This window comes from Homo sapiens, chromosome 10 (assembly GCF_000001405.40).
Source record: "Homo sapiens chromosome 10, GRCh38.p14 Primary Assembly".
Classification (NCBI taxonomy): Eukaryota; Metazoa; Chordata; class Mammalia; order Primates; family Hominidae; genus Homo; species Homo sapiens.
The window spans coordinates 28087298-28113276 of record NC_000010.11 but is presented as its reverse complement, the minus strand read 5'-3'; the positions used below and the strand labels follow the sequence as shown (position 1 = coordinate 28113276).

Here is a 25979-nt window from a genome sequence, read left to right as displayed (position 1 = left end):
AGTGTGTGGGGAGCAAGAGAGATGGGGGGACCAAAGCCTTCACTGGGGTCCAGGACATTACCCAAGCAAGCTTTCCTTCTGGGAGTTCTAAATAGTGGGTGTAAAGAAAGCAGGCATGAGTTCCGTGGAGTTATGCTGTGACTGAGAGGTGGTCACTGCAGCATAATTGCATGGTCCACGTGGGGTGTAGAGGTCACGGAGTGAGTCAAATAGGCTGTATCCGTATGTCCCATAGTGAGGTGGTCACCAGCAGGCAGTTGTATAAGGCAGATATCTGGATGGGCTGCCTTGAGGAAGTGGGAGGAGGCAGAGAGCTTGAAGCCATGTCAAGGGCGACTAAGCCCTGTTTCTGATATGAGAAAGTTAAGCCTGCATTCACAATGGATGCCAAAGCAACATAAAATTATGAGAATTCACTATAGGGTTCTTTCTTATCTGAAAAAAATGGGGATTATAGTACTGGACTCATAGATTGTTGGGGAATTAAATAAGTTTGTGTATTGTAGTGTACACAGAACAGTGCCTTCCACATAGTAATAATCATGTGACTATCCCAACTCTCTTCTGAGATCAACGTTTTATATATTTTTTCCTCTTTGTTCAAACTTGCTAAGTCTGAGAAATTCTGTTTCCTTTTCTTACTGGATGTTCATTAAGCATGATACTTGCTACTGAATATATGTGTGTGGTTATATCAGTGATATAAAAATATCATTTTCTCTCTACTTAAAAATTTTATGGAGAAACATTCTTTTGCAAATTTATACAGCATATTCATGAAATTTTATTAAAATGTGAAATATGTACTATATGTGATATAAATTACAGATTTTTTTGTGGATTGGCATTGGTGTTTTAATTTTTTGTTGGTTTTTGTGGTATGGCTTTTATCATTTGATTTCCATGGCGCTAAGTCTTTAATCGAGGGTGTAGTATTTAATCTATCCCATTGGTCCTATAAAAAAATAGACTCTATGTTTAACAACCCACTTTATAATGGAGTACCTGAGATTTCAAAGTGACCCATCTGATGTCCATCATGCCTAGCTGTTTGCCTAAGCCACATCATATCGTTTATTTCTTGTTTTCTAACCGTTTGCTTTAGATGCGCATGACAGGTCAGAGTTACTAAGACATGTGCTTAAATAAAGTCACAACTTGGGTGATTCAAAGCACGAGCCTGAATAATAATAATGATTTGCTTGTGATATTTGCTAATACTGGTCAAACCAAGCCAACATAGTTTAAGGATCCATAGGTATTTGAAAAATAAAAATACAGTGGTATACACCTTCCTGGAAGTGTTTTCTTTGGCCACTATTCTGTAGCTTGGATGGATGAGGGGAGAACTGTTCTGATCACTCCTATTTGCTCTGAGGTCATTGTAGTGAAATGCTTTGTACCTTGACTCATAGTTAGATTTGCCTCTGTAATATTGCCAGTATTTTTTCCACCCTTCTGAAAGCGAGTCTCTGAAGTCATATTTAACTTTTAAATTGCTATCCTCTTAGTAATTTAGGAACTGTTTAGGATTACTTTCTAAAATACCTTTCATCAGATAATATAGACAGAATAAAAATAAATGATTCTGCATAACTCATTTGATATGTATATAACATTGATAATTGTCAGGTTATTGTTAAATTTACAGGATATTTAGATATGTTAAGGACAAAATTTGTTGTTTCTAATATCCTTTTTTCTTTCCACTATTTTTATCGAGAAATTTCTTTTAAGTGTTGAACAGATTGATTTACAAACAAAACTGTTCTATGAAAATAAATGTAATCCCCTTATTAAAGACATTATTTTGAAAAAAATGCTGAAGGTTTTTGTTCTGGTTATTTTTCCCATTTGGTTATTTAATAAGCTATGTAAGGACTATGTTTTGACAACTTAAGTGTATGCATTCTTTTTAAAACAAGGCTGCAGTGCAGCCTAAAATGTAGTTTTTCATAAATTCTATTTATTTGTTGACTGATAATTTTGAAACATTTAAAATACATTTGTTTTTTCCTTTGGCTTTGCTAAGATGAGGAAACAGTTGAGTGTGGTAGGTGGATTTTTTTTTTCCTTTGGGTGCAACATCTTCCTATTCTAATTGCATTTTCTGCACATTTAATCATTTCCTTTCTCATTTTCTTTGTGCTTCTCAGAGGAAATTAAAGGTACATGTATAATAAGTTACCCTGCATAGTCTAGTCATTTTATTTAGTGCACATATATGTAGGATTAAATTGAATATAACAATCAACTTACAAATGTACTCTGTTGTACATCCAAACTTCCATCTTGACGTTACAATACCAAAAATTGTGGTTGCACTTTGTTTTAGAAAGAAATATGCATTTTTTTGCTTTATGCAGCAGAAATATAGAATGTAATCTGAAATAATACATTATATTTTTATTCTGTCAGTAGTCTTAAATGTGAATGAAATAAACAGTATTATTCAAATGTATTGACAGACGTATTTTGATGTAGGATCTAGGGGAACCTTCTCAATTAATTTATTTCTGTGCAGTCTATGCTGCTAGTTCCACAAGAAAGAGGCCTAAAATATTAAGTACCCCACTACTTAAATAAAGTTTTTAAGATATGTATAGCCTAGTATTCATGTGACTTAAAAATACTAGCACATTGCTTACTTTACAAATGTTTTTATCAGTTCTTTAAAAGAAATACCAATATTTCATTCCCCTGTTACTCCCAACATGAAATCTCTTCTTATCAATAGAAAGGACATATTTTCATCTTAACCTTTCTGTCTAATCCAATGAGCCAAAATAAGTGCTGTATTTTTACCTATTATCTAAGAGCCTGATTTACAAAAGTAAATGTACTTTGGGGGATCAGGTGGCATCATTTTCTTAACTTTAAAAATATAGGTCGGGCGTAGTGGCTCACGCCTGTAATCCCAGCACTTTGGGAGGCCAAAGTGGGCGGATCACCTGAGGTCAGGATTTCGAGACCAGCATGGCCAACATGGCAAAACCTTGTCTCTACTAAAAGTACAAAAATTAGCCGGGTGTGGTGGTGCGTGCCTATAATCCCAGCTACTCAGGAGGCAGAGGCAGGAGAATCGCTTGAACTCAGGAGCGGAGGTTGCAGTGAGTCGAGATTGCACCATTGCACTCCATCCTGGGCAAAAGAGTGAGACTCCATCTCAAAAAAAAAAAGAAAAAAGAAAAAAGAAGAAAATATAAACCTCTCAGACAAGTCTCGTATAATTTTCTTGGAACTGCATCAAGAAACCACTGAAGAAAGTTGGAGGAATTAAAAAAACCCTGCATGATGTTTAAAAATATCACTTTAAACTTAAATATAAAACAAACTGTTTTATGTTTAAGAGTGGCATTGCAAGGGCTGTTCTATGCTGTGCTTTACCTAATTGTTTTAAGTGTTTTTTTTTTTTTTTTTTTTTTTTTGCGTCTGCGGCTGGCCTTCTAACTGTTCTGCTTTATTTCTTGGCTTTTGTTCTGTATGCTTTTACACTCCATCCAGAAGATGCTGACTATGCTGGTAACAACAGTGGAACCTATATAGGTGAGCACTTGGCCACGGAGGAGGATCTCTTTCTTTCTGTTGCTTTCCTCGAAGTCATTACCTCGTTTTATCTGAAATGAGCGCATTTGCACTCGCATGCTCTGAGATTCGGTGGGGGTGGCATGCACCTTCACGTTACACAGGCTCAATGGGCTGGACACAAAGGGTTTCCTAGTGTGCTTTGGTTATTATATTCCGGAAACGTTGCCAGATGCCCTATCTTTATATTAATCTAATTTATATTTTTGATATAAGATAAAAATAATTGTATAATTTTTGATAGACGGTGGAAAAGCATCCTATTGGCACTAAGCAATTTTACACAATTAATGGCATCTGGACTTTTCTAATTACCTAGTTAATTGTGAATTAATCAACACTTCTAAATAACCTTTTTCTTCCCGACAACTTTCTGCTTATTTGTTGTTGTTGTTGTTGTTTTTGAGATGGAGTCTCACTCTGTTGCCCAGGTTGGAGTGCAGTGGCACAGTCTCCACTCACTGCAACCTCTGCCTCCGGGGTTCAAGTGATTCTCCTGCCTCAGCCTCCTGAGTAGCTGGGATTACAGGCACCCACCACCACGCCTGGCTTATTTTTGTATTTTTAGTAGAGACAGGGTTTCGCCATGTTGGCCAGGCTGGTCTCAAACTCTTGACCTCAAGTGATCTGCCCGCCTCAGCCTCCCAAAATTCTGGGATTACAGGTGTGAGCGACCGAGACTGGCCACTTTTTGTTTATGCTTTTTTATGACTTCTTATTCCCACAGCCTCCTCCTAAGTAAACATTGACTGAACAGCCCCAAATATAATTAAGCCTTATGACCAACTTTCTAATCTGTACTGGCAGGGAAAAATTCTAGTTTGGAGATGCCGAGGGTTGTTATACACGAAAATATTTAGAAATTGCTCAAGGCATTAAAATGATCTTCCCCAACATTTTACCTTCAAATTTTCCCACTCTTGCCACATCCAGGCATCATGACAAACTCTCTACTTTTAGTAGTGAGAGGGAATGAATGGTGAATTTTATTTTATATTATTTTATATTATTTTATTTTATTTTATTTTATTATTTGAGACAGGGTCTGGCTCTGTCACCCAGTATGGAGTGCAGTGGCATGATCTCGGCTCTCTGCAACCTCCGCCTCCCAGGCTCAAACCATCCTCCCACCTCAGCCTCGCAAGTAGCTTGGACTACAGGCCTGCACCACCACGGCCAGCTAATTTTTTTGTATTTTTGGTAGAGATGAGGTTTCACCATGTTGCCCAGGCTGGTCTCAAACTCCTGAGCTCTAATGATCCACCTGTCTTGGTCTCCCAAAGTGCTGAGATTATAGGCATGAGCCACTGTGCCCAACCAGAAACACATTTAGAGATCAGCTGCTTCAGCTCTCTTATTTTAAGATTAATAATTATGTATGATGATAATATCTCCTGGTTATTGAAGAAATGCACCAGAGCCTGTATTTGGTATTTACTGTGTATTTTCTCTAATACTGTGAGGTTAGTGGTATTGTATTTATTTTAAGAAAAGGAAACAAAGGTCTAGAAAGTTTACAGTATTTACCCGAGGACTCAAAGATGGTAAATGGAGCATCCTGAAGTCACATCCCCATCTGCAGAGACAGAATATTTGTACTGTGTCTTTTACAATTGCTGCCTTTTGATTTTTCATTTTACAAAACAAACTAGAAAACCCTTTGCAGACATATGGAGTATTTCAATTTCTAGGCTAGAGAAAATCTACTAAGTAAGAATTGGATGATGAGAGAGATTTTATTAAAATTGTATTCTTTACTCATTTCAGAATAATACAGTGTGCCAGATACCCGGTACATCCATTAACACCTCCCCCTACATCACCAGAAACTGTAATGGCTTTAAACAGCAAGCATTTATTCTCATGATACTGTGGTCAGCAGTGTGGTTCTTCTGGCCTGGGTCAGCTTGGTGGATCTGTTCAGGCTGGGGTCTTGGTTGGGGTCTGGTTGGTTTGGGGGTGCTCAGGTGGGTGAACTTGTTTCTGTTTCATGGAGTGTTTCACCTTTCGCAAAGCTAGCCCATGCAGTGGTTTCAGAGTTCCAGAGAACAGCAAAAGAAAACAGTCTCCAGGATGTAAATGCTCAGGAAGCCTCTGCTTGCATCAAATCTGCTAATATCTCATTGGATGAAACAAGTCTCATGGCCAAGCCAGGGTTACTGTGGAAGGAGACCCCCTGAGAGCTTGGATACAGGGAGGTGTGAAGACATGGATGGCCATCACTGCATGCTTCTGCTTCTCTCAAAAATAGAAAGAATGGTACCTGCTCCCTAACTTTAAGGGCCTATATTCAGTCAATCAGACAGTAGGGATTATAGAAAACTGTGGCATAAAGCACTATCTGATGACTGTCACATAAAATGCTGTGATTCAGAGAAGGTGGTGATCATCGTAGCCTGAAGCAACCAGGGACCCAGTCCCACAAGAGAGGCCATTAGAGCTGGGCACCAAGGGTTAGCTGTAATTCCAGGTAGCATGGGGGATAAAGATAGAAGAAAATAGCACGGAAAGAGCACTGGACATATTTAAGTTCGATGATATGTAGATGGTGGGCCTGGAAATTTAGTTTGGTACTGGATAAGGTGAGATCATAAGTTTTAGGTTAAGTAATTGACACATTTATTAAAGTTTTGCCAGATTTTGGTACTCAGTGTTATTCTTTGTGTAAAATTTCGTCCAAAGAACAAAATATGGATTTTAAATCTGTGTCTCTCTTCTAGCATTTAGGAGTTTTGTAAAATGAGTATTTAATCAGTAGATGTATTATATTATACATTGATGTGCAAAAGGAAGGGGTGATCAGAAATATGGGTTTCTTTAGAGCACATAAAGACAATGAGTTCTGACAAAATGCCATTGAATTTGGCAACGCGGAATCACTGATAACATCTGAGAAACATTTTCACCGGAAGCCAAATTGCAAGGTGTCAAGGAGTGACAGAGTTGACAGCAGAGGAAGGATTGCCGTTGAGTCCGAGGCAGTTTTTATAGTTGAGGATAGGAGTGCTCCAGTGGGAGAGAGGATAATATGATCATTTTTATAGGCAGAGATGACCGAGCCAATGGTAAAGAATTGAATATCTGAAAAAGGAAATAATTGTGGTTAACTGTAAATGATTCAAAGCTTCTAAATAACTTTTTCTTTCAAATATCTTTTTGATTATGTTTCCTTATGACTTCTTATTCCCATAACCCCTCTAAATAACCGTTGGCTAAACAGCCCCCAATATAATCAACTTATGATTAACTTTCTAAGGAAATCTCCAGTTTGGAGATGCCAAGGGATGTTATTAATATAAACAAAAGCAGGACTACCTAGAAATTGTTACAGGCATCTTATCTTCACCTACACTTCTCTTCTGACTTTCTCCCCACTGCTGTAGATAGGTATCCTGGTAAGTTCTCTGCTTTTAGTAGCGAGAGGTAATAGTCTAGAAGCACAGTTTTAGCGATCAATTCCGTTAGAGAAAAAAGTCCAAATAAGACTAGATTGGGTGGAATTAAGACTATGGGAGGGTTTAGATAAAATAATTTGGCACTAGCAGGTGAAGTTAAGCATACAGATATCCCATGGCCCAGCAAAATTATTTCTTTGGAAAAGGTGATGAGCTTTGTGCTTCCAAGAGACCATTCTACATCAGACAATTATAGAAGAAAACGGGACCATCTAAGTAGAATGAGAATAGCATGAATCATGTAATAATTCATATCAAACTGGTGGCTCACAGACACTCTGCAGACTGTGTTGGGACAAAGATCCATATTTTTTGTTAGACCTACAAACTGAGAAATTTCATATGAAAATTTCTGGCTCATTTGGCAGAACAAAAGGTTTGTGCAAAATAGGCCTTCATTTCCCGATGTTAATAATTAGCTGAGGCAGAGCGTGGTGACTCATGCCTGTAATCCCAGCACTTGCACTTTGGGAAGCCAAGGCCAGTGGATCATCTGAGGTCAGGAGTTCAAGACCAGCCTGGCCAATGTGACGAAACTCCTTCTCTACTGAAAATACAAAAATTAGCTGGGCATAGTGGCGCACACCTGTAATCCAAGTTACTCAGGAGGCTGAGGCAGGAGGATTGCTTGAATTTAGGAGGCGGAGATTGCGGTGAACTGAGATCGCGCCATTGCATTCCAGCCTGGGTGACAGAGCCAGATTCTGTCTCAAAATAATAATAATTAGCTGAGCTGCATTATAACTGATTCCTTAATGGAGAGATTAAGAGCACTTCAGTTCATCGCAGTCCACACCATTCCTCATTACTTGCCAATTCTGAGACAGGTTGTCAGTTACCATTCTCCTAACAGTTGTACTGGTGCTTGTGCTATAATAGCAAAGTATTTCTTTGTATCCATATTTTCAACCATGGGAAAGTAAAGGTAACCCAAGAGTATTTCTAGAAAAATGAGACAATATGTTTCTTCAAGGGCTGATGTTGTGCAAAATGTATTCTTATTGGCAGATGGATAACTTAAGGTCTTTCTGCCTACCTGGCTTTGACAGGGTTTTTGCTTTTTTTTTTTTTTTTTTTTTTTTTTGAGATGGAGTCTCACTCTGTCGCCAGGCTAGAGTGCAGTGGCGCGATCTTGGCTCACTGCAACCTCCAACTCCCTGGTTTAAGCGATTCTCCTGCCTCAGCCTCCCGACTAGCTGGGATTATAGAGTACAGCTATTCACTCCATTCAACTCTTGGTCTTAGAAAAAATAGCTTCATTTCCATCCTTGAGTATGGCAAAGGGAGAAATGTGACCAATGTGTTTTAGTATATGTGCACCATGACAGCATTTCTTTATGTCCTCCTGGTCTAAATACTTATTCTAATGTGTGCAAGAGACAACCACAAGGTTAGTGCACCTGGAAGTTCCTTGAGATACCACCAAGATTAGGAAACCTAGGAGGGTACCTGAGAAGAGAGTCATACGGTATAAAAAGACTTTTAAAAAGAATACATCCTTCCACAGTGAAATAATAGGACAGATAAATGAATAGTGTTGCTGATAAAAGTATCTTCTTTTATGGAAGCTGTTCAACTAATGACCAAAGATTTGACGTTAGTTCTTTTGTAGAATAAGCAAGTTTGATCATAGTCTCTCATTTAAAAAAGAATATATTGCTAAAAAGTTACTTTGTTACAAATAGCTTGAGAAAATTATCTTGTGGAATTCTATTTTTCCCCCAAAAGCCAAATCCTAAAAATGCCTACAGATCTTATGTGTTTTTAAAACAAGGCTTATAAGCAACATGCTAACATAAATGGCAAAACTATTCTATGGTAAACATATGTATTTAAAAAACGTGTTAAAATGTTCTGTGACTTATCGTAATTGTGGGACTTTTTAGTAGTTTTCCTCCCAATCCCACTTGTTTTTTCCTCTTAACCATTTCTTTGCCCCCTTTTCTTGTTGGGTTATTCATCAGTCTTCTGTTAATTTGATGAGCTCTTTTTATATTATGAATATTCATCCCTTCTCTGTTGCCCACATTTTCTTCTGGTCTTCTGGTTGTGTCTTAACTTTTTCTTTGCTAAATTTTAGAGCATGTAGGTATTTTTCTTTTCACCTAGCCAAATCTGTGAATCACTTCCCTTTTGTCTTCTCTTTTCTTTTTGTATTCCTCATACCAAAATTACTTAAAATAATTTAAAATTATATGTTTTCTCCAAAGTACTATATGCATTTGGTTGAAGCAGATGAAATTGCTGTTTTGTCAGTCAAAAACCAATAACAATGCCAGCAATTTCACATGGTTCCATTTAATAAATTGTTTGAAAAGTCAAATAGTATTGCAAGTCCAGCAACCCAAAGCAGGAGTCTCCTTTCCTCCTCCTCCTCCCCATTCCTATGGCTTCTCTCGAGAGAGAACCACCTTAGCTCTGGTTGCCATTTTCTTCTGGTATTTGTAGCATATAACTTTCTTATAATGCTATTTCTGGATTTTATAACAATATTTTTGAGTGCCTTTTACATTCTAGATGCTGTTCTGGGCACTGGAGTTTCAACAGAAATCAAAACAAACATCCTCCTTTTCTAGTACTTTTGTGTTGGGAGTAGGAGTGGAGACAAATTGCTGAATAATTCGTTAGATGGTAATAAGTGCTAAGAAGAAAAGTAAGGTGGAAATGAAGATGGGGTGATGAGGGAGCTGGGGAAATGGGCATTTCAAATTTAAATATGGTGGTCAAAGAAGGCCTCCTTGAGAAGGCCACGTTTGAGCAAAAACCTGAAGTGAGCTTGTTGGGAATAAGCATTCCAAGCAGTGGTACAAGCATGTGCAAAGGCCCTGAGACAGGATGCATGTGTTCAGGTGCCCCGACAGCATGTGCAAAGGCCCCAAGACAGGATCCATGTGCACAGGCCCCCAACAGCGTGTACAAAGGCCCCGAGACAGGATGCATGTGTACAGGCCCCTGACAGTGTGTTCAAAGGCACCAAGACAGGATGCATGTGCACAGGCCCCAGACAGCGTATGCAAAGGCCCTGAGACAGGATGCATGTGTACAGGCCCCCACAGTGTGTGCAAAGGCCCCGAGACAGGATGCATGTGCACGGTCTGACCCCCCAACAGCATGTGCAAAGGCCCTGAGACAGGACGCATTGTGCACAAGTGTGTGCAAAGGCCCTAAAGATGGGTCAAGAGACCAGAGTGACCAGAGCAGAGTGAATGGGGAGAGTGATAGGAATTGAGGTTGTCAAGATAATAGAATGTTTGTGGGAGGAGGAACTTTGGCTCTTATACTCCAGATCATTGAAGGGCTCTAAGCAGAGCCGTAACATGAACTGCCTTCTGTGTGTAAGGGTCACGCTGGCTGATCTGTTGGGAATGGATTGTAAGGGAGAAACAGCAGAAGCAGGGAGCTCCTGTAGTCATTCAGGCAGATGATGATGGTGGCTGGAAGCAGATATTATCTGTGGAGGTGGTGAGAAAATGTCCCATTCTGGATATATTTTGATGGTAGAACTGAGGAGATTTCCCTACAAAGTGGCAAACCAAGGATGGGTGTATGGTTTTTGGATTTAGTAACTATGAAGATGGAGTTACTATTTACTGAGATGGGAAAGACTGCAGAGGAGTAGGTTGGGCTGAGGAAAAGTTCAGGGATTCCATTTGAGGCGTATTGAGTTGACATCCAAATAGAGATCTATGACACTCCAAGATTTAAATGCCAATTTTTATGAGAATTATACTTTAAAACCATATTTAATAAGCTATCACTGGTGTGAAAGTACACTATGTGGTATGATTCTTACTGACCTGTAACATACCTCATTTCTTAGAGGTTAGCATGTTTATTAATGAAAGAGGTTTGGCTGTTATTATTAAAAGAAAGGAAAAAGCTCACTGGGCAATGGAAGTTGTATGTAGTTTGCATAAAATTTTGTAATAATCCAAGCGCAGTGGTGCACACCTGTAATCCCAACTACTCCGGAGGCTGAGGCGAGAGGATCACTTGAGGCCAGGAGTTCAAGGCTGCAGTGATCTACAATGATGCCACTCCAGCCTGGGTGACAGAGCAAAACCCTATCTCTTAAAAATAAATTAAATTGTAATAATAACATGAAGGTGAATTGCTAGTATGCTGTAAACATGAATTGCATGAATTGCAGAAATTTACACCATTTAAAGTTGAATGTCCGCAAGTCAAGGGCTGCCTGTATATAAAGACTGTCAAATCATATATGTTTATATATGTATATGCTTGCATATATATGAATTATTAGGAAAAATTCATTTCTTCCTATAGGCTTTTGAAAATTTTGCTTAGCTTTGGTGGATGGCATAGAAGTTAGTTTATTTTTGGTCTTTCAGAACAGTATGTTTGCTTCCAAAGTATAATTGCTTCTCGATGGTCGAACCATCAGCATTAAAAATTCTCCTTTTTCCTACTGCAGTACAAAATAATCCATATGAAGAGTAATTTCTTTTGTAACATTGGTCAGATTTACAGACTGTTTTCCTCTGGTTAATTCATTATAGAAAACTTGTTCTAATCAATTCACAAAGCATCACTTACCATGCATCTCTTTTCTAACATACTTTCTTACAAATAATTTCCTGAAAAGTCACTCTTTCTCTACTTTTCCCTTGCTCTGGAGTACTTCATACATTCTTTTAAAACAAGATCAGTTTGGGGACTTAATGTAAGTTAAGAGGGGTTTGCCATAAAGTTAAATAAAAATGAAACTGTCCATTTGTTGTTATTTCTTTCAAATGTTATTATTTACCCACATCTACTCCTAGGTGTTTTTTCCTAATCTGTTTCTTATTTCTGTCTGTCCTCCTATGTTGAAGCAACACTGATCTTCAACAAGTTATCTGCATGTTTTATAAATCCAGTAAATATTCCATTTATTCAATATTCAATCATTTTATTAAAGAATGTCATGCAAATTAAGTACAGCTATGTCTAAATATACTGCCTTAATATTTTTCCTAAACATTATATTTATGCATAGGGAACACTTAGAGGTATTCTTTCAGAAGTGACACAGGTTCTTTCTTGAATATGAAAGAACGCTGCATAATCTCAGCATGTCTGGAATACTACTTGGAAATATTTTTTTCTGACAGAAAGAAACCATTTGTGTTTGGAGAATTTTAAGTTGCACAGACTCAACTGAGAAAACATATTAAAATTTCAAATCAGTTTTTCTCTCTGTTCAGAACCATATTTTTATATACAATTTTACATATGCATAACTGTATTTTCTCATAATTTTGAAGGTATAAGTAAGAGCTTATTTCTTTATTAGCCGGCTTACAAAAAATTAAATTCTCATATGGTTTCTTCTCTCTCTCTCCATTTTTATGGTGATGTTCTGTGCTGTACTTTAAAAACGAATTGTAAGTGGTATCAGGAAAACTTTTAAAGACCTAAGTAATATTTTTCTTTGAAAATTGCAAATTGATATCTTTTATTAACTTTTGTGGTTTCATTAGGTACTTTGAGTTTCTATTTTTATTTTTAGCCTGAGATGAGCTGAAAGACTCAAGGGTGTTTATGGCATGTGAACATTTCTTTACATTTTACTGAGAGCAACTTTGAACCTGCAACATTGCAGAGATGAATTTTCTAATAGTATGTTTGAAAGCCTTTTTCCCCTTTATCTACAAAATTAGCATGTGTATAATTGGCTAATATAATCCATGAAAATGTTCATTTTTCTTTGGTGATTTTTTTCTGACATTGTTTTGTAAGATCAATACGGAAGCTGACTAACCTAGCCCCTTTAGACTTCAGTAAATCTAGATTTAGCATTTCTTCTCAGTTTAAACCTCCTCCCAAGATTTTTACTTGTTTGTTACTGTAAGATGTTCTTAATTATCCTCCATAGTCTTTGGGATAATTTTATGATTGGCATATAATGAGAGCATCATTTAGATAATAATTTTCTATTAAGATCATGTTACTATGTTGGTTATGATTTGCACTATTATAACAGCATTGGCATTATATTCAAAATGTTTTTATTAGTAGAAATGTTCAATGTTTGGTTGTCAGAAACCTAATATCATATAATAATTTCCAGCTGCTTAGTTTTTATTAATGTCTACGTGTTTTTTTTTTTTTTAATCTTCTTAAGAAGTTCACTTATAGTAAATTTTTTTTTTCCTTGTAGTTAAGGTACCTATTGAATCAGTTAAATATTTGCTTGGTCAAATGAATCCGATTTTTAAGATGCAAAAAATAACTCATACAATGATTTTAAAAAATCTTCTGATTAAAAAAATATGCATTTTAGTAATTTTAAGGTGAGAAAAAAAGAATTTAAATGTTTTTTTTTCTCCGTTGAAAAAATGAAGCAGTTTTCTAGACTGTTTGTATCAAACAAATGTATTCCTTAAAACCTTAGGAACTTTATTTTTTATTTATTTTTTTTTTTGGGAGATGGAGTTTCACTCTTGTTGCCCAGGCTGGAGTGCAATGGCACGATCTTGGCTCACCACAACCTCTGCCTCCTGGGTTCAAGTGATTCTCCTGCCTCAGCCTCCCGAGTAGCTGGGATTACAGGCATGCACCACCACATCCGGCTGATTTTTTTGTATTTTTAGTAGAGACGGGGTTTCTCCATGTTGGTCAGGCTAGCCTCGAACTCCCGACCTCAGGTGATCCACCCGCCTCGGCCTCCCAGAGGGTTGGGATTACAGGCGTGAGCCACCACACCCGGCCTAAACCTTAGGAACTTTAGAGTGGCTCCTTCTCTAATCCTCTGTTATGAGTCAAGACTATTTCACTAGGACCTCTTTTCCCATGCTATCAACACATATAAAATTTAAACATATTAAAAGCTTATTTTTAACATTAGAAATGCATACTATCTGATGTTATTAGACCAGGTTGGTTATGTAAAAGAAATATAATCAAAGATCTAAACTGTCCCATTTGAAAAATTACAGGTGGTAACGTAGTAGTATTGATTTTCTTTGAGTTAACAGAAAGCCAAGTCCCACTTCCCCCTCATTTACATGTGCGATTTTTTGGAGGCTGTTAGTATGGGTGGTGAGTTATCTTGACTTTGCTTGAGGGCCTTTTATGTTAATGGCCATGTTTGTAGCTAAAATGATCATGTATTTTTAATAAAATGCCATCTTAAAGGTCAATATTTTATTAAAAAGTGAGATCATTAAAATTACAAATATAGGTACATTATAAGTTTACATTGAAATTATGTGTTTGTGAGAGCCAAAGAATATAATAATTTGTTATTTTAGAAAGGATTTTTATCCATTTTATTAGTTTGGTTGTAAGTTTCGAAACTGTAAGTACTTCTTTTTTTCATCGTTACTACTTAGGTGAGACTTCTGGTTCTCTCTCTTCCTTGCCCTTATTCTTAACTTCTTATATTATATTCTTATTTTTTATACTTTTCCATGATTTTTGCTTTTGTTGCTTGCTTTATGCTTGAATTTATGTGGCTATTCCTAACTATTGTTAATATACAAATTTGGTCTATTACCATAATCACTGAAAAATATAGATGATTAGAACTTGCCTCTGAGACATAACCAATATGTATTTTGTGTTACGTGCTGATATAACCACACAACTACATCTGCCAATACGGATTTCATTTGTTTGTTCATTTCATTTGTTGTTGGTTCATATATTTTTATGTTTTCTTTTTAAAATTATAAATTTGAAATTATGTAATTTTATATAATTATATAATCTAGTAATTTTGAAACATATATAATATTACAGTAAGTTTGAAAAATAGAACAAGTAATTGTCCACAGCCCTCTCTACCTAACACAACCATTGTCTTTTTAAAAAACATATTTTCTTCTATATTTCTGTATCCATAACAGTCTTTATATTACTAAAAAAAGTAAAACTCATAGTGTAAGTATGATGATTGTATCCTGTCTTTTTTTTCCCATTTATTGTATGAAATGCATTTCTATGGTACTATGTAGTTTTATAATTTTAATAGTTTCAACTTCATTTCTTTGAGAAGGTGTTTTATAAGTTAATTGATCATTTCCATACTTCTGCATATCTTGGTTACTTCCAAGTTTTTTAATTGTTAAAAAATATTGCTAACATTTGAAATTATAGTATAGGTAGTTATAATATTTATCTATAATATGAAACTTATTTTAATAACAAATGATTCTTAATTTATGTATGTAAGCATTAAGGTTAATACTGTATTGGTGAATAATGTTTTACAAATGCAATGTCGAGAAATAGCTTTGAAAGTGACCAAATTGCAACTGTCCAAGTTTTAAAATTTTTTACTTAAGAGAAATTGGAGTGACTGGAATACTTGCAAAAAGTCTTTATTTTCTAGTCATGGTCCTGCATTGTGAAAACACCTTAAATTACAAGCATTTGAGAATAAGTTTTTTGTCCCCTAGTGGTTGGGAGCCAATGACACTGCCTTACATATTTTTGTATTTCTAATACAGGGGAGTGTTAAAATGTGTTTCCTTATTTCCTTATTTGGAAAACGTCTTCTATCAGGAAAAAATTATGTTTTTAATCCCTAAGTTAAACCGTTGGTCCTTTGTTAATTTTTTCTATTAAATTATTTCATACCTAACATAATGTAATAGAAATGAACTAAATTCATTTTTTTTCTATTATGCATCTATGTATATAGGGTAATGTCTGAAACTTTCTTCTTGACTTCATTTTATCATTTAATACTTGAACCAAAGCTTTGGCCATCTTTGTTGATTACACTGAAGAGTGTACTTAAACACATGGATTGTTATACCCACCTCATAGGGTTGCTGTGAGAATTAAATAAATTCATCACACATAAAGTGCTTTGAGTAGTGCCAGTCATCTAACATGTGCCCGACAAATATCAACCACTACCACCACTTATACTGATATTATTATTATTATTTGATATTATTATTAAAAAGAGAATTTATTGATATTATTAAAAAGAGAATGAAAGGCGAGGTATGGTGGCTCATGCCTGTAAACCTAGTACTTTGGGAGGCTGAAGTGGGGCCAGGAGTTTGAGGTTAGCCTGTGCAACCTGGTGAGTCTCCATCTCTACAAAATACAGTTTTTGAAAAGTAACTAGGTGTGTTGGCGTGTGCCTGTATGTCCAGCTGCTTGGGAGGCTGAGGTGGGAGGATCGCTGGAGCCCAGGGGTTTGAGGCTACACTGAGCCGTGATCGCACCACTTTACTTCAGCCTGGATGACAGAATGAGACTCTTTCTCAAAATAGTAAATAAATAAAAATAAAAAGAGAAGCTAAATTTAGACCAAGAATCACCTTTTTCTGTCATGGCATAATAATGTACCATCTGGTATTTCAATACAATGTATATGTCAACATAAAGTAGTAAAAGGGTTGTTCAGTATTTCTGAGACCATTGGTTAGTTATTTAGAAAAATATAAAGTTACAGCCACACTTCCCAGGCCTGATTTCATCATGATTACATGTCAGTAATTCCAGATGGAATTAAAAAATTAAGTGTAAAGCTGTGCAACCCACTTTTTAACACTTCAGAAAATATTGGTGAATATTTATCAGAACTAAGATGGAAAAGTTATAGAAACAATGGAAGGAATCACAAAGGAAAGATATTTATAAATTCAAACACGTAAACAGTTTAAATTTCTTTATGATGACAGTTAAAAGGAAAATTGAAAACCTTACATCTTTTTAACAAATAGAACAAAGGGCTCGTGACCTTATTGAAAGATACCTATGTATATGTATTTATGAAGACTCTACTCCAAAAGTGATCAAAATTTATAAACCAACAATTTACAGAAGTAAGAAATGCAAGTGAGTAATAAACATGAAAAAAATACCCTCAACTCCACTAACCGTTAAAATAACAGTGATGTACAGTTTTCACTTGTCAAATCACTGAAGATTTTAAAGAAGAGATTAGAAGTCCTTTGATGAGAGAATGGTGAAATGGGCCACTGTACATACTGCTGGTGGGAATGGATATTGATATTAATCAATCCGAGAAGCATTTGGACAGGATCTGTCTAGTTTCTAGCAATTTGCCCTAATGAAGTCATCAGTGACATGGGATAAAGGGATGTTTATTGCAGTCTTATTGAACTAAGAAGCAAATAACGAGCAACTCAGATCTCTCCCTTTACAGTTAAATTTTTAACTTTCACCAAAGCTATAAATTAAATGATAAATGAACAAGTCATCATAAATTTTCTACTGGAAAATATTAGATAAGCGGTGTCTGTGATTAGGGACTGACCTGCAGCTGCAGTCTTAACTCTGAAGTCACTTTCCTATTGTAATAAACTAAACGTGCCGTTCCTTTCAAAAACACAAATCTCTAGCAGCTGTGGGTAAGCTCCCTGGAAAAAGCCTGTCCATAAAAATGTTGAGCCAATTATAAATTGCAAAAACATGAAATGTAAGGAAAAATATTTTTTATGTAAAACTGTTCCCTTACTCTAAATTCCTTGTTAATGTACCCCTTTCCCTTCCGTCTTTTTAAAAGCCAGCTCTTGCTAAAACTTTTGCACTGAAAGTGAACTGAAATCAAACAGGTTCACATTTATCTAAAAGAATCCTCTGTGTACTTTCAGTTTAAGGTCACATTTTTTGGTCTTCCTTTTAATACGAGAAGTAAGATCTGAAGGCAAGAAACGATTAACTCCCTTTTTCTGACACAGAATTACTCTCCCTTAAGCTTAGACTTAACTAAGGTGTACTGACACATCGCTCATTATTTTACTGAAATTGGAAAATTACAGCCTCTGTACTGCCTTGAAGGACATGTGAAGTGTGCTATCACCTCTGACTACCCATGGGGGACAGAATCTAGAAAAATTGCCGTTAGGAGTATGGGGCAGGCTGAAAAATCATCACAAATAAATACTCTGAATTTCATAACTCTTGCTGTATCTTTTGTTCTGGCTATTTTATTGGTTGTCTGGGCTGGCAATTTTTCCTTCTTTTCACCCTGTCTGTGCATGTGTATACATATATATGTCTGTACATGTATATATGTTTCTGTATATATATATATATATATATATATATATGCATATGTGTGTATGTATATCAGATATGTGTGTATGTAAATATGAGCATTAATATGTATTTGTGAATCAGGGGAGTAAGTAAAAAGTAAGACCAAAGGAAAGGATACTTTCTTTCAATGTAAATATGGTAACAAATAACTATATCCCTAGAAAGAGAATCTATGAAGACAAATGAAAAAATAGTTAATACATACTAAACCTTTCTGTTGTATTTTTTAAACTTATTTATTTATTTATTTAGAGATAAGGTCTTGCTCTGTTGCCCAGGCTGGAGTGCAGTGGCGGAATGTTGGCTCACTGCAACCTCCACCTCCTGGATTCAAGTGATTCTCGTGCCTCAGCCTCCCAAGTAGCTGGGATTATAGGCATGTGCCACCACATCTGGCTATTTCTGTTGTATTTAAAATGTCTTAATACTTAATAAGGTACTTTAGGCATCTACAATATTTAACATATTTAAATCTGGCTTTAATTTTAACATTTTATCTGTTTTATACTATTAGTCAATTTGAAACTAATTAGTGAGCCTCTTAACTCCCCCTCCTCACCCCGCTTTTTTTTATTTTTGCTAGACACCATGCTATGGGACTACAAGGGATACATGTTCCTGCCTTCAAGGTTCTTTTAAGTAGTTGGAGGCATTGCAGCATGAATCTGTAGCTAACATGTAAAGCACTTACCATATGCCACAGATGGGACCGAAAGCTTTACATGAATTATTTAATCCTTAACCACCTTGTGAGGCAGCTACTACTATAATCTGTATTTTAAAGTAGAGGAAATGAGCCTTGTGGAGAAGTAAGTCAGCAGAGCCTAGGTACTGGTCCGGATCCTCTGCCAGCCTCTGCTTGGTAACAATCAGTGACCAGCTGCTCCCATGGAACCCCTGTTGCGACCTCACTGCCTTTGCTCCTTTGCATTGTAAAATATCGTTCAAGGCACTAAAGCTTCATAACCTGTGTGAATTCCTGTGCATTAAGGCACTGAAGCTTCATAACCTGTGTGAATTGATTGCTGTTGCTACTGAAAAACCGATGTGAACAAGTGCAGCGTATGGCTGCCCCGCGGGGAGCAGACTCAGATGACCTCCAGAGTTTCTTCCAGCTCTAAGGCTTTCTTGTTTGCAGAGCGTTAGCCTTTGACACCTTTTAGAATTTTAACTCTTAGAAAATGCCTAATGTGTCATGCTTTCTTTGTTGAAATTTACATGAAGCAGATGAAACAGGAATAATAGTAGGGTTTTTGTTGCTGCCTTTTAAAATTACTTCCATTCAGTAAACGTTTATCAAGCAACTGTTCTGTAGCAAGCCTTGCACAACTGACATCACCCAACTATCTATGCAACATGGTCCCCATCTTTGACACTCATGCAACATCACCTTAAGAGATCTGATTACCTTCTCTTTTCCTCACTAACTCTTCATTGTTTATGATGAAAGTAAAAACTTGGCTGGGTGTGGTGGCTCATGCCTGTAATCCCAGCACTTTGGGAGGCCAAGGCGGGTGGATCTCCTGAGGTCAGGAGTTCGAGACCAGCCTGGCCAACATGGAGAAACCCCATCTCTACTAAAAATACAAAAATTAGCTAGGTGTGGTGGCAGGCGTCTGTAGTCCCAGCTACTCAGGAGGCTGAGGCATGAGAATCGCTTGAACCTGGGAGGCAGAGGCTGCAGTGAGCTGAGATTGCACCACTGCACTCCAGCCTGAGCCACAGAAGTGAGACCCTGTCTCAAGAAAAAAAAAAAAAAAAAGGAAAGTAAAAACTTAAGTGAATTTTAAAGGCTCAATTAGGTAAGCACATTGAAATTCAAGATTTAGCTGTGATTTGCTCATCAGAAATTTGTCAGGTTTTTACTTTTGGATGTTATTTCCTGTGGATGAAGCATTTATGTTCTTGTTATATCCATTCCTGTGCCAAAAGTTTGTAGAGACTTGACAGCAAGCCTCCCTCCATACAGGGAATAATTATAAAGGAATTTATAGTTCTACCTGCTTATTCTGTAATTGCCTCTCATGAGGCAAGAGCTGTGGAAACATGAAATTAGAATGCTGTGAAATATCAGCATTCTAACTTTTGTTGTTAGAGTAGCTCATGTATCATCTTTGTTCTAAACCAGAAGCCGTGCTAATACTGGGCTACAGTCTGGGCCAGCACACATCCGTGACAGAGTAGGTGCTGGGGTTGGTTTGGGATAACTAAATTCTGCAATTAGAAAGAGACCCTTGTCTGAGAACCACTGTGCTCAAGCACAAGGGGTAGTTGTAAAGACCTTGGCTACTTCTGGTGTAGTGTGTTATGTCTGTGATAGGAAGGTGGCTGGGTTCAGTGTCTCATGCCTATAATCCCAGCACTTTTGGAGGCTGAGGTGGGCGGATCATTTTTGCTCAGGGCTTCAAGACCAACCTGGGCAACATGGCGAAACCTTATCTCTTCAAAAAAAAAAAAAAAAAAAATTGAGCCAGGTGTGGTGGCACATGCCTGTGGTCCCAGCTACTCAGGGGGCTGAGGTGGGAAGATGGCTTGAGCCTGGGAGGCAGAGGATTCAGAGAGCCGAGATCCTGCCACTGCACTCCAGCCTGGGCAACAGAGCCAGTCCCTGTCTCAAAAAAAAAAAAAGGTCCCTTTTCTGGGTTCTATGAAGCTTTCCCTACAACCTAGAAAACAAGATGAACAAAAAGTAATAAATAACTTTTTCTCTGGCGCTTTACATAGAAGTTTGAATCCTCTCTGCATGTGTGATTTTATAATTCCACCTCTTTTTCTCATCCTAGGGCCAGAGGGATGTATTTACCTTCTAGCTTTCCTCAGATGTCATCTCTTGTCTTATAAGACACCCATGTGTTTACAACTTGTCCTATTCTCTTCTCCTCTTTACCTTTGTAAAGGAGCTTTAGAACAACTGTCTTCCTTGTTTTAGATCCTTTATAAATAACCTTTTCTCTCAACTCAAATATCTTCTCAAAATCGGAGTGACTCTTAGAGGGCCACAGAAACATGTTATCAGATAAACTTTAGTCACTCTGTCCTTAATATCTTGATCAATTTTTATCAAACTCTGAATCCATAAGGTGAGTCACATAAAACCATTGTTAGTCATTGGTAATTGTTTCACATTTCCTTTATTTTGAATCCTGTTAATTTCTTAAACCCAATGGTAACAATTATTCATTTCCTTCATGCAGTCATCCTATGATATCCATGGGAGATTGGTTCCAAGACCCCCTTGGATACCAAAATCTGCAGATGCTCAAGCCCCGATATAAAATGTGTACTTGCATGTAATCTATGCACATCCTCCTGTATACTTTAAATCATCTCCAGATTACTTGTAATACCTAATACAATGTAAATGCTATGTAAATTATTATACTCTATTGTTTAGGGAATAATGACAAGGACAAAAGTCTCAATACAGATGAAATAACACTCAATACATGTTCAATAGAGATACAGTTAAAAAATTTCAGTCCATAATTGGTTAAATCCACATGGATGGAACCCACAGATTCAGACAGCTGACTATATTCACTAAAATCCACACAGATTAGTTATTACATTTTTTTCATTTTGTTACAAAATACCTCTGTTTATAAAAAAGATATCTATGGCTGGTCATGGTGGCTCACGCCTGTAATCCCAGCACTTTGGGAGGCTGAGAAGGGCGGATTACCTGAGGTCAGAAGTTTGAGATGAGCCTGGCCAATGTGGTGAAACCCCGTCTCTACTAAAAATACAAAAGTTAGCCGGGCGTGATGGCATGCGCCTGTAATCCCAGCTACTCGGGAAGCTGAGGCAGGGGAATCACTTCAACCCAGGAGGCGGAGGTTGCAATGAGCCGAGATCATGCCATTGCACTCTAGCCTGGACAACAAGAGCAAAACTCCATCTCAAAAAAAAAAAAAAAAAGTTATCTGTTTATCAAAGTTGATGAATATTCTTTTTGAAGAGAATGTATTTTTATACCTTTAAAATGTACTTGCATTTTATTTTGAACTTTGCAGCTGATATAAAATATATATAAGGGTTTTTTTGTTTTGTTTTGTTTTTGAAATGGAGTCTTACTCTGTCACCTAGGCTAGAGTACGGTGGTGCGATCTTGGCTCACTGCAACCTCTGTCTCCTGAGTTCAAGCGATTCTCCTGTCTCAGCCTCCCGAGTAGCTGAGATTACATGTGTGCACCACCACTTAGCTAATTTTTTTGTATTTTTAGTAGAGATGGGGTTTCTCCATGTTGCCCCACCTGGTCTTAAACTCCTGGGCTCAAGCGATCTGCCCTCCTTCCTTGGCTTCCCAAAGTGCTGGGATTATAGGCATGAGCCACCGTGGCTGGCTCTATTTCTTAATTTCATATGTGTCACATTATGAAAGCATAGAATTTCCATTAGAGAAAAGAACCTGAGGCTTGATGATTTATTCCATCCCCTGGAGTCCAGTTAAAGTTAACTGACTTGCTGAAGATCAACTAATTGTTGACTGGGTGAGCTTTGTTCTGTCAGCCTGACTGACGCATAAGCACACGCTACACTACACACTCCCTAATTTAGTTTTCTTTTTGTTTAACAATAGATGCTGCCTGTGCCATGGGTACGTTGTGAGGTTATGCTTAGGATGTAATAGAAACTTTGTTCATGTTCATGAATGAGAGAACTTATTGTTTACATTTAAAATGCTTTTACAGTGTTTTTAACTTTTTCATATCAAATGTGTTTACCAATCAGTTCTTGATAAATTATGATTTTTGACTTATTTTGCTTTATTATAGTTATTTTACTCAATGATTTTTCAACAGAGCTCTTTATTGTTTAAACCAAATAAAATTTACATTATTATAACTACATAAATAAATATTAAATCTAAGTTATTGTTTTTATAAAATTGTGTACTATTATTTTTTTCTTACTGAATGCATTTCTAACAATATTATGATGAATAGGCCAGGCACAGTGGCTCATGCCTGTAATCCCAACACTTTGGGAAGCTAAACTGGGGGGATTGCTTGAGGCCAGCAGTTCAAACCAGCCTGGGCAACGTAGCAAGACCCTGTCTCTACAAAGTATTTTAAAAATTAACCAGCCGTGGTGATGTGTGCCTGTAATCCCACCTGCCTGGGAGCCTGAGGTGGGAGGATCGCTTGAGCCCAGGAGTTCAACACTGCAGTAAGCTGTGATGGCGCCACTGCTCTCCAGGTTGGGCAACAGAGTGAGACCCTGTCTCTAAAACATTAGGGTTTTAACTTTAAAAACCCAATATTATGGTAAATAAAATCCAACCCAACTCTGAGGGTTTTTTTTTTTTGAGGGTTTCTTTTTTGGTTGATGTTACTAAAAATATATTTATTTTAATATTTGCAGCTGGTTTTAGAAAAAGTTTTCGTCTTAGTAGAAAAGATAAGAAAACAAATAAATCCATGTATGAATGCAAGAAGAGTGATCAGTACGACACAGCTGACGTACCCACATACGAAGAAGTGACACCGTATCGGCGACAAACTAATGAAAAATACAGACTCGTTGTCTTGGTTGGTAAGTGCTTGTTTCTGTGAGTAATTCTGAGGAAATGAGTGAGCTAGTAAGAATTTCTCTTCAAAGTGAATCATACTTGAAGTTTTCAAGCTAAAAATCTCCTCCCCTTCAACACCTTTTGTCTTGTCTCTGAAACAAAATCTTTAGTTTTTTGTACGTAATTGACTTGCAGAGACTTTTAAGACATTTCTGAAGAACGGTACTGTCGTTTTAGTGGAACCTTTGTCAAGTGGGGATAGCAAACACTGTTGTAATATATGAAGCATACATCAGGGCAATTAAATAATAGAAGTGAATATTTTTGAACACAATGCAAGTTCGTTTCAAAGCATTTTGAGGCAGCAGCATGGTACAAGCTTCAGATGGCATTTAGACCTTCAGTGAAATAAAGTATTACAGCAGAGTTCTAGGATATTTCAAGCTAGAGAGTCAGCAAAGTCGCTTTAAAGTTGATAATTGGCTGGGTGCCGTGGCTCACACCTTTAATCCCAGCACTTTGGGAGGCCAGGGTGGGAGGATCACTTGAGGTCAGGAGTTTGAGACCAGCCTGGCCATCATGGTGAAGCCCCATCTCTACAGTGAAGCCCCATCTCTACATTGAAGCCCCATCTCTACAAAAATACAAAAATTAGCCAGGCGTGGTAGCACAGTCCTGTAGTCCGAGCTACTCAGGAGGCTGAGGCAGAAGAATCCCTTGAACCTGGGAGGTGGAGGTTGCAGTGAGCCAAGATCGCGCCACTGCACTCCAGCCTGGGTGACAGAGCGAGACTCTGTCTCAAAATAAAAAGGCAGTTAATAAAGGAATGTGGGTATTTTCACAAACATCGATTGCCTTGACTCAGATTTGCATCCTAGCATCTATCTTGTGCACCCTTCACAGATGTGAGTAGCCACAAGCTCCATGTATCTTCACTTCATCCTCAATGCATTTCTTTAAAAATGTAGCGAGAGATATTTAAACTTCCAGGATCAAAGCCAATGATTTTAGAAAAGTTTTGGAGTAGAAGAGCATGGTGTCTCTTAGTGTTAGTACATTCTCACACTGCTATAATTACCTGAGACTGGGTAATTTATGAAGAAAAGAGGTTTAATTGACTCACAGTTCCACAGGCTATATAGGAAGCATGACTGGGAGCCCTCAGGAAACTTAACAAGCATGGCAGAAGGTGAAGGGGAAACAGGAGCGGGCTTCACATGGCAGCAGGGGAGAGAGAGAGTGAGAGCGACAGGGGACGTGCCACATACTTTTAAACCATCAGATCTCCTGAGAACTCATTATCGTGGGAATATCATGGGAGAAATCTACCTCTGTGATCTAGCTACCTCCCACCAGGTCCCTCCCCCAGCATTGAGAATTACAGTTCAACATGAGACTTGGGTGGGGACACAGAGCCAAACCATATCACTCTTGTTAATTGTTCTTTTATAAACTCGTGATGATACTTATGGAAATGAGAATCAATGGAGAACCTGAGAATTACCCCATCTTAGTAAGATGGAGTCCTTTGAAAGGTTACAACCCATGCTGTTCATTGAGAAATGGTGGGTGACTCATGGGAAATGATGCAATTTCTCACATCTGTAGGTCCTGGAAGTGAACACTAGCATCATTACATATTAAGATTGTTTGCATTATTTTGAAACACATATTCACATACTTCAAAAGAAATTCAAAATTTCCTTTATTAATAATGTCCACATCTCCTAATTCATTTATACTGAGCCTCCTCAAGGAGGAGGAGGAAGAATTTATTTATAGCTTACAGTGCCCTGCTTCTCATCCTTATAGAGGTGTGCTGAGAGAACATGCATTTCCCAGCTCAATGGGGCTACCTGAGACCTCCTGCTCCTCTCCCACCTCACTGTCCCTTCTGTGCTGCCTCCTTCACCAGCACAGATCACAGCAACATCTCTTCTGTCCCTGTTGCCTCTTCTCCTCAGCCAAGGGGAAAGACATGTAATAAAATGGCATTGAGGCTGGGCGCAGTGGCTCATGCCTGTAATCCCAGCGCTTTGGGAGGCTAAGCCAGGAGGATCACTTGAGGTCAGGAGTTCAAGACCAGCCTGCCCAACATGGCAAGACCCTGTCTCTACTAATAGTATAAAAATTAGTCAGGTGTAGTGGCAGGCGCCTGTAGTCCCAGCTTCTTGGGAAGCTGAGGCACAAGAATTGCTTGAACCTGGGAGGCAGAGGTTGCAGTGAGCTGAGATTGCATCACGGTACTCCAGCCGGGGCAACAGAGCAAGATTCTCTAATTAAAAAAAGAAAGAAAGAAAAAAAAAGGCATGTGTTAGTCTGTTGTGTGTTGCTGTAAAGGAATACCTGAGATTGGGTAATTCATAAAGAAAAATGATTTGTTTGGCTGATGGTTC

The 25979-nt window shown here is 37.6% G+C and overlaps 1 protein-coding gene across 14 annotated transcripts in view, besides 1 other annotated feature; it reads left to right on the top strand.

The window, feature by feature from the left end:
• Positions 1–25979, top strand: part of MPP7 (MAGUK p55 scaffold protein 7) — a 284211-nt gene that overhangs the window by 221927 nt on the left and 36305 nt on the right. For all 14 annotated transcript variants that reach the window (NR_134518.2, NR_134517.2, XR_007061944.1 and 11 more), the window contains one exon: positions 23436–23606. Coding sequence is in view for 11 of the 14 variants with exons in the window: in XM_047424647.1 (XP_047280603.1) it covers positions 23436–23606 (171 nt within the window). In the remaining 3 variants the exon portion in view is untranslated. The remainder of the gene's footprint in view (positions 1–23435; positions 23607–25979) is intronic.
• Positions 23271–24470: an enhancer, noted in NCBI's record as "MED14-independent group 3 enhancer chr10:28377736-28378935 (GRCh37/hg19 assembly coordinates)". NCBI's record gives its function as "activates an origin of replication core promoter dependent on BRD2, BRD4, P300/CBP and CDK7 cofactors, and independent of MED14, by STARR-seq in HCT116 cells {active_cell/tissue: HCT116}" and the evidence as "EXISTENCE:reporter gene assay evidence [ECO:0000049][PMID:35650434]".